Here is a 12,695-nt window from a genome sequence, read left to right as displayed (position 1 = left end):
ATCAAGAATAAACAAGTGTATCCTAAAATGCTTTTTTTCAGGACAGCAAAATTTTGCATACAAAAGCAATTTTTTTTTTTTTTTTTTAGAGACAGAATCTCACTCTGTCACCCAGGCTGGAGTGCATTTGTATGGTCCTGGCTCATTTCCACGTCTGCCTCCTGGGTTCAGGCTATTCTTCTGCCTTAACCTCCAGAGTAGCTGGGATTACAGGCATGCGCCACCACACAGGCTATTTATTTTTATTTATTTATTTATTTATTTATTTTGTATTTTTAGTAGAGACAGCATTTCATCACGTTGGCCAGGCTGGTCTTGAATTCCTGGTCTTTTAGTTTTGAGTATGTTCACATATCTTTTCTTCATATAGTTGAAAATTGCAGTCAAAGAGGTCTGGGAAACTTGTTAGTTCAGCTTTCATGCAACCTCTGGCCCTCTTCTTGTTCTATCCTAGATGTTCCACTTCCAGCATTTGAATGTTGGTTCTTGCGCACAATTGAACTTATTACTGGTTATGTATATGTCTTTTCCTACATACCATAAGAAAGCTTGACATTTATTCTGCTGCTTGAAAATTGTATTCTTTGTAAATCTGAGAAAATCAACTAAAATATATTATTTAAAGGAAACAAAAGTAGATAAATATATTTAAAAATTGCTTTATTATAGTGACAGAAGTCCACTACTTGAAAGACATTGTAGGAAAATGCATATTTATTATTAACAACAAATAGAAACAAATGTAACAGAAATAAGCAAAAATTAGCATATAAAAGTGTTTCAGTACTAATTATCCACCCCCAAATATGGAAAATAATGGAAAAAATTCTGGAGTAGAAAGATGGTCTCATCGATTTATCAATAGTATTGATGGTACATTATAAGTTTAATATACCCCAACTTTTTAAAATTAAACTAATTCTAAAAATCCGGGTGAATAAATAAAAGTACATTAGCCAATATTTTTCTATATTTATTAGCAATAAGGTGCTGCAAGCCTACCTTTTTGAAATATTAAAATATATTTAAAAGCTATGCTGTAGTATGAACACATAAAATAGACTGAAAGATCGAGTTAATATCATAGATCAAGTCTGAAATAGAATAGTTATTTTAAACAAATTAAGTTAGATTCACATCTCCAACCTTACACAAAATGAATTTAATGTGTTTAAGATTTAAGTGGATAAAATGAGACTCCAAATGTGCCAGTATAACACGAGGTATTGTTTATTGCTTTTAAAACATTACAAAATGCAAAAATAATAAAATTAAACATAAATAGCTTTTATCAGCCAAGCATTATAGCAATCTGCCTGGCCAAAAAAAGTGATTTTAATGAATGAAAAAAATGCTCCATCTCGCAGAACGATAAAAGAGTAATTTATTTAATACATAAAAGTTTCTGTAAAGCAGTAATTTAAAAACTCTAAGAATATAACATAAAGTAGGCTGTAAAATGTCTCTCAGAAAGTGGAAATATACTAATTCTCACCTGAATGGAAAATTATAACATATTGAGATACAAATTTTTATCTTTCAAATAGGAATATAATTTCAAATAATTTGTAAATACCTCCATAGGCAAACACTGAGAACATAGGCATTTTCATATATTACTGGTGTAATAGTAAGTGGGTAAAATTCTCAAGGGAGGGAAATTAACAATGTATCTCCACAATTATAAATGTATTCTCATTCATATATTGATCTACCAAATTGATTCCTGAGAATTTTACCAACAGATGTACTTTTATGTGTACAAGCTTGCTTATTTCCAAAGATATTTATTGCAGTACTGCTTTGTAGTAGCAAAACACTGAAACAACCTGAATACAACAATGAAAACTAGATTATTAAGTTACAATTCATTCATCCATTGGAGTAATTTGCAATTGAAAATCACAAGTTCTGTCTGTCTTGACGGGGATGATTTCTAAGAGATGATATAAAGTGTAAACATAAACAATAGCATGCAGAACTTGCTATCTATTTTATAAGAAAATAAAAATGTAATATATGCATACATCTTAGTACAACTATGGGATATTTCTGGAAACTGAAGACCTTCAATAGCCTCTACATAGGGAAACTGAGTAGGTGGTGACTAGGAAGGGAGACTTCCTGCTACACTCATAACTTCTGAATTTTTTAGCAGATGATCATACTTTTCACTCAAAGAAAAAACAAAAGTAAGTACAATAATTTCATTTCTAAAGTCAGACCATAGTCAGTTATTTTCACACTTATCTCATATTAATTAAAAAAAATTATTATAATACGTAAAGTAAAGCTGTGACTCAAATATTCTGAGGAATGTTTTATCATAAAAAAGTTTATGATAAATCTTAATATATAATATTTGTAGACTAAATCCTGAAAAATTTATAATAAAGCCAATTAGTAAACACCATACAATATTTTATAATACTTATATAGCAAATATAATTAATGTGTTCATCAGGTTATTGCTTCTGGGATTATAAATGAAATACCATACAATTTTATAGACCACTTGGCTCAGCAGTAACGGAAGTTAATCTTAATTCTGAAAGAGATGTATTCATGTGCATCCAATAAAATATGACTAAGTGGTCTTGACCTGTATTTCGATGGTTAAGTCCCATTTGATGGTTTTCTAAGAACAGCTTGCCTTAGGTTATAGCAGTTTAATGGAACAGTTAGCCATTTTCACCATCTACTTGAACTTACTAATGAGAAAATTTAGACATCTCACATGGGATTTTGCTCCAGTTTCTCTCAGAATAATTTTTTATAAATAGTCCCTATTACAATTCACTAAAATAAATATAGGCAAATAAACTAAAATAATTTACAGTCTACACTTGTAGGATGAGATGGTAGCTGAGAGAGACTATTCTCAATCTACAAAATGAAAACACTATATAGACAAATTAAAATACATCAATGTTAAAATATTCAATTTCTATACTTCTGTTTTGAAATAATCACAAACTTTATAAGTTGTTAGCCATGTTCTTTATCATTTAAAATTTTCAACAGTATGGAATTCTGTCTAGTACTTAAGATATCTGCCTTGATTAGTCCCTCTTGTGGGTATCTTCCAAATTTCACCCTCTCAGTGAGTCTTTCTATAAATCTTTATTCAATATTACATAACTTCTTTCAAGATTACATTCCCCCTATTCAAGATGACAAACCCTTATTAAAGATTACAAGGGTAAATGTAATCCTTTACCTATTCTTGCTTTACTTCTGTTCCAGCACTTAACGCTATGTGACACATCCTATCCTTTCCCTTTTTAATTTATTTTTTGTTTTTTTTCTTGTCTAACTAAACTGGAAGCTCAGTACAATTGCGGTGATTTATCAGTTTAATTCACTGATGACTTCTTAGTAGTAAAACATTGCATAAAATACAGTGGGTATTTGTTAAATAAATTGTAAATTAATAAATAAGTAACTGGTGATTAAAACATATGACCCTTTCACCTGAAACATTAGTTATCAATATTTCTTGGTAAATTTTCAGTTGTGGCAGTCACTCCTAAATATGAACTATATTACTGGTGCAAATTTTATTTGTAATTTTGAAGGTAGCATCCACAGCTTGCTAACTTGAACATGTATGAATGGCCAATTATGTGTTTTTTTGTTTTTTGTTTTTTTTTTGAGACAGAGTCTTGCTGTGTCACCCAGGCTGGAGTGCAGTGACATGATCTTGGCTATAGTATTGTATTCCTCTGTTTTTACGCTCCTAATAATGACATACCCAAGACTGGGCAATTTACAAAAGAAAGCAGTTTATTGAATTTACAGTTCCACATGGATGGGGAGGCCTCATAATCATGGCAGAAGGCAAGGAGAAGCAAGTCACATCTTACATGGATGGCAGCAGGCAAAAAAAGAGAGATTGTGCAGGGAATTCAAGATGAGATTTGGATGGGGACACAGCCAAACCACATCATGCCACCCCGGCCCCTCCCAAATCTCTTGTCCTCACATTTTAAAACCAATCATGTCTTCCCATTGATTCCCCAAACTCTCACCTCTTTCCAGTATTAACTCAAAAGTCCATAGTCCAATGTCTCATCTGAGACAAGGCAAGTCCCTTTCACCTATAAACCTGTAAATTCAAAAGCAATTTAGTTACTTCCTAGATACAAGGGGGTACAGGCATGGGTAAATACAGGCTTTCCAAATGGGAAAAAATGTCCAAAATAAAAGGGGTACAGGCCCCATGAAAGTCCAAAATCCAGCAGGGCAGTTAAATCTTAAAGTTCCAAAATGATCTCCTTTGGCTCCATATCTCACATCCAGGTCACACTGATGGAGGGGTGGATTTCCATGGTCTTGGGCAGCTCTACCCCCATGGCTTCACAGGGTACAGCCTCCCTCATGGCTATTTTCATGGGCTGGCATTGAGTTTCTCTGGCTTTTCCTGGTGCATTGTGCAAGCTGTCAACAGATCTACCATTTTGGGGTCTAGAGGATAGTGGCCCTCTTCTCACAGCTCTATCAGGTGGTGCCCCAGTAGGGACGCTGTGTGGGGGCTCTGACCCCATATTTCCCTTCCTCAATACCCTAGCAGAGGTTTTCCATGAGGACCCCGCCCCTACAGCAAATTTCCTCCTGGGCATCCAGGCACTTCCATCTGAAATCTATGCAGAGGTTCCCAAACCTCAATTCTTGATTTCTGTGCACTTGCAGATTCAACACCACATGGAAGCTGCCAAGCCTTGAGGCTTGCACCGTCTGAAGCAACAGCCCTAGTTCTATTTAAGCCTTTTCAGCCATGGCTGGAGTGGCTGGGACACAAGGCACCAAGTCCCTAGGCTGCACAAAGCACTGGGACTCTAGGCCCAGCCCATGAAACCAATTCTTCCTCCTAGGCCTCCAGGCCTGTGAAGGAATGAATTGCCATGAAGTCTTCTGACATGCTCTGGAGATATTTTTCCCATCAACTTGGGGATTGACATTCAGCTCCTTATAATTTATGCAAATTTCTGCAGCTGGCCTGCATTTCTCCTCAGAAAATTGAATTTTATTTTCTATCACATTGTCAAGCTGCAAGTTTTTCAAACTTTTATGCTCTGTTTCCCTTTTAAAAAAGAATGTTTTTGACAGCACCCAATTTACCTCTTGAATTCTTTGCGGCTTAGTAACTTCTTCTGCAAAATACCCTAAGTCATCACTCTCAAGTTCAAAGTTCCACAAATCTCTAGGACAGGGGCAAAATGCTGCCCGTCACTTTGCTAAAACATAACAAGAATCACCTTTCCTCCAGTTTCCAAAAAAGTTCCTCATTTCCATCTGAGAACACCTCAGCCTTGACTTTATTGTCTATATTGCTATAAACATTTTGAGTAAAGCCATTCCACAAGTCTTTAGGAAGTTCCAAACTTTCCCACATTTCCCTGTCTTCTTCTGAGCTCTCCAAACTGTTCCAACCTCTGCCTGTTACCCAGTTCCAAAGTCGCTTCCACATTTTTGTGTATCTTTTCAACAGCACCGCACTCTTGGTACCAATTTGCTGTATTAGTCCTTTTCCATGCTACTGATTAAGACTTACCTGAGACTGGGTGATATACAAAAGAAAGAGGTTTATTGGACTTACAGTTCCACGTGGCTAAGGAGGTCTTACAATAATGGCAGAGGCAAGGGGGAGCAAGTCACATCTTACATGGATAGCAGCAGGCAAAAAAAGAGAGCTTGTGCAGGGAAACTCTCCCTTATAATACCATCAGATCTCATGAGACTTATTCAGTATCATGAATACAGCACAGGAAAGACCTGCCCCCATGATTAAATTACCTCCCACTGGGTCCCTCCCACAACATGTGGGAATTGAAGATGAGATTTGGGTGGGTGGGAAAACACCCAATCATACAACGTATGATAAAAATACTGAATAAGTAAAAGATTCTAGTACTCATATTGTCTATCATTTTAACTTTGGCCATTCTAGTAGTTATATAACAGCATTGTATTGTGATGATTATTTGCCCTTCCTTATTTACCATTATTTTTATGTTTTTGTCACATGTATCTTTTTTTAAGTAGAATGCTTGTTCCAACATGTCCTTATTTATCATACTAATCTAATTTTCCATATTATTGTTAATATGTAATAATTTTTCATCTATATACATCTTTTAAAATTTCATGGATATAAATTATATATATGCATGTGTGTATTTCTATATATATATTTTTTGAACCTAGAAATCTTACTCATTCTCAATTAGACTTTGATGTATAAGGTTACATGCTGTAGTATAAGCCTAACAATATATTATAGTAATATTTTATTATACTAATTATATTAATTGTACTATAATACTAATAACATTATGTCTTTAATTCATTACAGTAGTTAGTATACTTTATATTAGTGGCTGGTACTATAGGACATCAAATTTTTAAATAATGAATATATATCCTTATAACCAGCTAAACTCTCTTATTATTTCTAGTAACTTACTTGGAGATTATTTTTATCTCAATGCAAAATACAGTAGAAGGAAAGAAACAAGAAATAAAATGTCAGGACAAATAGAAAACAAATATCAAGATTGTAGATACATGCACAACCATAACAATAGTAATATTAAATGTAAATAGCCTAAACAACTCAATTAAAAGGCAGTTTTTTTCAGATTTGGTAAAAAAGCAACTGGCAACTATATGCTACTTATACAAATTTTAATATAAAGAATAAATTGTTTACAAATAAAAAGTTGGGAGAATATAACTTGTTAACATCACTCAAAGAAAATAAAGTAGCTATGTAAATGTAAGAATAACTAATTTCAAAGTAAAGAATTTCATTAGAAATAGAGTGATTCCCTAATTATAATGTGGTATGCACTGAATAACAGAGAATATCTGTCTATCTAGCTAAATTATCTATCTATTTATCATCTCTTTATTTTCTCTCAATGACATATCTATCCATCTATTTATCCATCCATCCATCTATGAAGCAAAGCTGACAGAACTGCAGAACTGCAAAGAGAAATAGACATACCTACAATTATAATTAAAAAGCACACTTCAGTGCTACCAATTATAACTGGAATAAAGAAACAGAAAATCAGTAAGGACATTGGAGCACTATGTGTTTCATTTTTATATTATTCTTTTTTTCTCCTCATTGTAGTCACATTTTCTTCCAATTCCTTAAACATGTTTAGCCTATTGACAATAATTGCTTAAACTTCGTTTTACAGATTCCATCATCATTTAATTCGTATGTTTTTCTACTGACAGAATTTCTCTAAGATGTAAGCCATATTTCCAAATGTTTTTAATGACTAGTTAAACTCTGCGAATCTTGTATTTTGGTTCTGAGATTTTATTGAAAGTCCTTTAAATAGTGCTGAATTCTGTTTGTGCATTCTGTTGTGTTACTATGAGTCCACAGGATTCTTTCCAGGCTTGCTTATAAACTTTGTTTAGTGTAAATATATACATATATTTGGAAATATATATATATTTGGAAAAATATATATATATATATGGAAAATTTAGCTGTCTTACTAAAAAGATCTCCCCTTAATTGTTTTATCTTATGCCCTGTGCATTACAATATCTTTTCTATGTAGCTTGTAGCAACATAAACTCAGTTTTCAAAGATCTCTGTAGTACAATGTCATAGTAGTTGTTTCCTGTGTCTTAGTACTTTATCCTTATGTCCAGATCATTACAAATTCCTATTTAATTATGCTTTGTCTTTTTGCTTGCCAAAGCCTTTAAAATAAATCTAGTCTTTATTTAAAGGAGATTATGAAGATAAATTTTTCATAAGTTTTGTGTCTAGATAATTCCTGCTGGAAGTATTTTAAAATAATAATATGACAAGTCTATATCCACAAGTTTGATGAACTAGGTAAAATCAAATATCTATTTCTTGAAAGACACAATCTACTAAAACTCACAACTCACACAAGGGGAAATAGTCTGAATAGAACCATTTATATTAAACAAATTAAACCAATCATTTATACCTCTCAAACCAGAAAGAACCAGGCCCAAGTACATTCATTCATGAATTCTGACTAAAATTTAAGGATAAAATCATTCCGTTTTGATAAAATTTCACTCATAAAATAGAAACAGACTCATTCTAGGAGAGTAATATCACTTTCATACTAAAACCAGAAAAGAAATTGCCAGAAAGAAAAATTACAGGTCCATATCTCTCATTAGCATACATGTAAAACTCCACCAAAAATAGAAAATAAAATCCAATAATGTATTAAAAATTATATACCATGACCCAGTTGGATTTACGCCTGGTATACAAGGCTGGTTTATTGTCCATAAATTAATTAAAACAACCATCACATTAACAGACTAAATCTGAAAAATCAGACAATGATATCAATAAATGCAGAAAAATTTTCAACAAATGTCACACACTTTCATAATTTTAAATAGAGAAAATAAAGCTTTTAGCAATTTAAGACTATGTAGGATCATCCACATGTTTATTTTTAAAAATCTACAAAGAGCTGCAGCTGTCACTTTATTTAATGATAGAGAAGTAGAGGTTTGCCTGCTAAGACTAGGAATAAAACAAATATGTCTCTTCTCAATCAATCTTATTCAGTATCACACTAGAAGTCCTAGACAATACAATCTGATAAGAAAATAAAATAAAAGTATATGAATTAGGAAAGAAGATATAAAATTTTCTTTCCTCACAGATGACATTTTTGGCTATGCAGAAGATCTCAAAGACTCATCATCAACAACAAAACATCTGAGAACGAATAAAAGTTACAGCAATGTTAATAATTGGGTTTAATTAAAATTAAAATCTGCTCTGCAAAAGACACTGTTAAGAGGATGAAAACATAATCTACAGAATAGGAGAAAATCGGATGTTCATCTAAAATATATAAAAACAATTAGAACTCAAAAATTAAAATCAAACAGGCCAACTAAAAAAATAAGCAAAAGGTTTAGAGACACCTCACTAAGAATGATATTCAAATTGCATATAAGCATAAGAAAAGATGCTCAACTTATACATCTTTAGAGAATTGTAAGCTAAAATAACGATAGTATACTATTATACACATCTTTGAATGGCTAAGACCACAGCACTGACAGTACTAACTGCCAGTGAAGAGGGAGCAACAGGAATTCTCATTCATTGCTGGTGAGAATGCAAAATAGTACAGCCACTTTAGAAGATAGTATGGTACTTTCTTACAAACTAAACATACTCTTACCATATGATCCAGTAAATAGACTCTGTTATAGCCTATACTACATATATACTTACTATATTTAATACAAACTTAAACATTAAATATAGTACATTAATTCTAAACATTAATATTTTAAAACTTTGTACATAGTCTTGCATAATTGGCTATTCCTTTTAATGAGTTGAATTGTCAATTCCTTGGTCCATTTTGTAATGTGCAATTTATCTTCATCTTATTGCTTGGTTTATACCCTTTATATGCAATATTAAAGAAATCAAAATAGATGTTACTAATATTTTTACTAACTTGGATACTGTTATTTATTGAAATTCAAATGTTAATTACTTATGTAGTCAAATTTTACCTTTATGCCTTCTAAATTTCATTTCTGGCTTAGAAATAATTTTTCACTCAAAACATTTACTCATTCTTCATAAAACTGTATGACTTTTGTTCAAATATGTTACGTGTCTGTAATTTATTTTGGTATAAAAATAAAGTAGAACCCTATCTTTCAAAATCAATAGAAACTATATATTCCTACTGTAAACCATATAAGCGAAATATTTCTACTGTTTATAACCTGCCCAGTTTATGGTAATTTGTTATATTAGCCCAAATGGTCTAAGGTCTAAGGTAGGCTCCTTGGTATTTACCTAAATTTGTTAAAAATTTGTGTCCACACAAAAACTTGCACAGGAACGTTTATAGTAGTTTTATTCATATTTTTCCAAATATATTTTCATTATTTTGTAAGTTTCACAAGCATATTTGTTATCATTTTAGCTGGGGCAACTTATTACATATTATCATGTGTTTGGTGCCTTATTGATTTTTCTTATTGTAATAGTCATATTCCCATTAGTTGCCCAATTTTAGAACTAGAGGACGGAAAATGACAGGCTACAGGCAGGGCCGGATCTGCCTGTCTCAGTGCCTATCTAGTTCAATGAGAAATGCCTGTAGTTTTTATTACAACTCCATATTTTATAATTTTAATAAATATTGGACTATTGTAATTATTGGGAGTGGAAAGTGAAATTCAAAATTGTTACCCCTAGTGCACTTTCAGTAATAGTACTTGGTAATATCTTATTTCAAAAATATTTTCAAACTTTTCTCTTTTTTTTTATTATACTTTAAGTTTTAGGGTACATGTGCACATTGTGCAGGTTACTTACATATGTATACATGTGCCATGCTGGTGCACTGCACCCAGTAAATCGTCATCTAGCATTAGTATATCTCCCAATGCTATCCCTCCCCCCTACCCCCACTCCACCACAGTCCCCAGCGTGTGATATTCCCTTCCTGTGTCCATGTGATCTCATTGTTCAATTCCCACCTATGAGTGAGAATATGCGGTGTTTGGTTTTTTGTTCTTGCGATAGTTTACTGAGAATGATGATTTCCAATTTCATCCATGTACCTACAAAGGACATGAACTCATCATTTTTATGGCTGCATAGTATTCCATGGTGTATATGTGCCACATTTTCTTAATCCAGTCTATCATTGTTGGACATTTGGGTTGGTTCCAAGTCTTTGCTATTGTGAATAATGCCGCAATAAACATACGTGTGCATGTGTCTTTATAGCAGCATGATTTATAGTCCTTTGGGTATATACCCAGTAATGGATGCCTGGGTCAAATGGTATTTCCAGTTCTAGATCCCTGAGGAATCGCCACACTGACTTCCACAATGGTTGAACTAGTTTACAGTCCCACCAACAGTGTAAAAGTGTTCCTATTTCTCCACATCCTCTCCAGCACCTGTTGTTTCCTGACTTTTTAATGATTGCCACTCTAACTGGTGTGTGATGGTATCTCATTGTGGTTTTGATTTGCATTTCTCTGATGGCCAGTGATGATGAGCATTTTTTCATGTGTTTTTTGGCTGCAGAAATGTCTTCTTTTGAGAAGTGTCTGTTCATGTCCTTCGCCCACTTTTTGATGGGGTTGTTTGTTTTTTCTTGTAAATTTGTTTGAGTTCATTGTAGATTCTGGATATTAGCCGTTTGTCAGATGAGTAGGTTGCGAAAATTTTCTCCCATTTTGTAGGTTGCCTGTTCACTCTGATGGTAGTTTCTTTTGCTGTGCAGAAGCTCTTTAGTTTAATTAGATCCCATTTGTCAATTTTGGCTTTTGTTGCCATTGCTTTTGGTGTTTTGGACATGAAGTCCTTTCCCATGCCTATGTCCTGAATGGTAATGCCTAGGTTTTCTTCTAGGGTTTTTATGGTTTTAGGTCTAACGTTTAAGTCTTTAATCCATCTTGAATTGATTTTTGTGTAAGGTGTAAGGAAGGGATCCAGTTTCAGCTTTCTACATATGGCTAGCCAGTTTTCCCAGCACCATTTATTAAATAGGGAATCCTATCCCCATTGCTTGTTTTTCTCAGGTTTGTCAAAGATCAGATAGTTGTAGATATGAGGCATTATTTCTGAGGGCTCTGTTCTGTTCCATTGGACTATATATCTGTTTTGGTACCAGTACCATGCTTTTTTGGTTACTGTAGCCTTGTAGTATACTTTGAAGTCAGGTAGCGTGATGCCTCTAGCTTTGTTCTTTTGGCTTAGGATTGACTTGGCAATGCGGGCTCTCTTTTGGTTCCATATGAACTTTAAAGTAGTTTTTTCCAATTCTGTGAAGAAAGTCATTGGTAGCTTGATGGGGATGGCATTGAATCTGTAAATTACCTTGGGCAGTATGGCCATTTTCACGATATTGATTCTTCCTACCCATGAGCGTGGGATGTTCTTCCTTTTGTTTGTATCCTCTTTTATTTCCTTGAGCAGTGGTTTGTAGTTCTCCTTGAAGAGATCCTTCACATCCCTTGTAAGTTGGATTCCTAGGTATTTTATTCTCTTTGAAGCAATTGTGAATGGGAGTTCACTCATGATTTGGCTCTCTGTTTGTCTGTTGTTGGTGTATAAGAAAGCTTGTGAGTTTTGTACATTGATTTTGCATCCTGAGACTTTGCTGAAGTTGCTTATCAGCTTAAGGAGATTTTGGGCTGAGACAATGGGGTTTTCTAGATATACAATCATGTCATCTGCAAACAGGGACAATTTGACTTCCTCTTTTCCTAATTGAATACCCTATATTTCCTTCTCCTGCCTAATTGCCCTGGCCAGAACTTCCAACACTATGTTGAATAGGAGTGGTGAGAGAGGGCATCCCTGTCTTGTGCCAGTTTTCAAAGGGAATGCTTCCAGTTTTTGCCCATTCAGTATGATATTGGCTGTTGGTTTGTCATAGATAGCTCTTATTATTTTGAAATACGTCCCATCAATACCTAATTTATTGAGAGTTTTTAGCATGAAGGGTTGTTGAATTTTGTCAAAGGCTTTTTCTGCATCTATTGAGATAATCATGTGGTTTTTGTCTTTGGCTCTGTTTATATGCTGGATTACATTGATTGATTTGCATATATTGAACCAGCCTTGCATCCCAGGGATGAAGCCCACTTGATCATGGTGGATAAGCTTT

This window comes from Homo sapiens, chromosome 14, assembly GCF_000001405.40.
Source record: "Homo sapiens chromosome 14, GRCh38.p14 Primary Assembly".
Classification (NCBI taxonomy): Eukaryota; Metazoa; Chordata; class Mammalia; order Primates; family Hominidae; genus Homo; species Homo sapiens.
Note: the sequence above shows the minus strand (reverse complement) of the source record.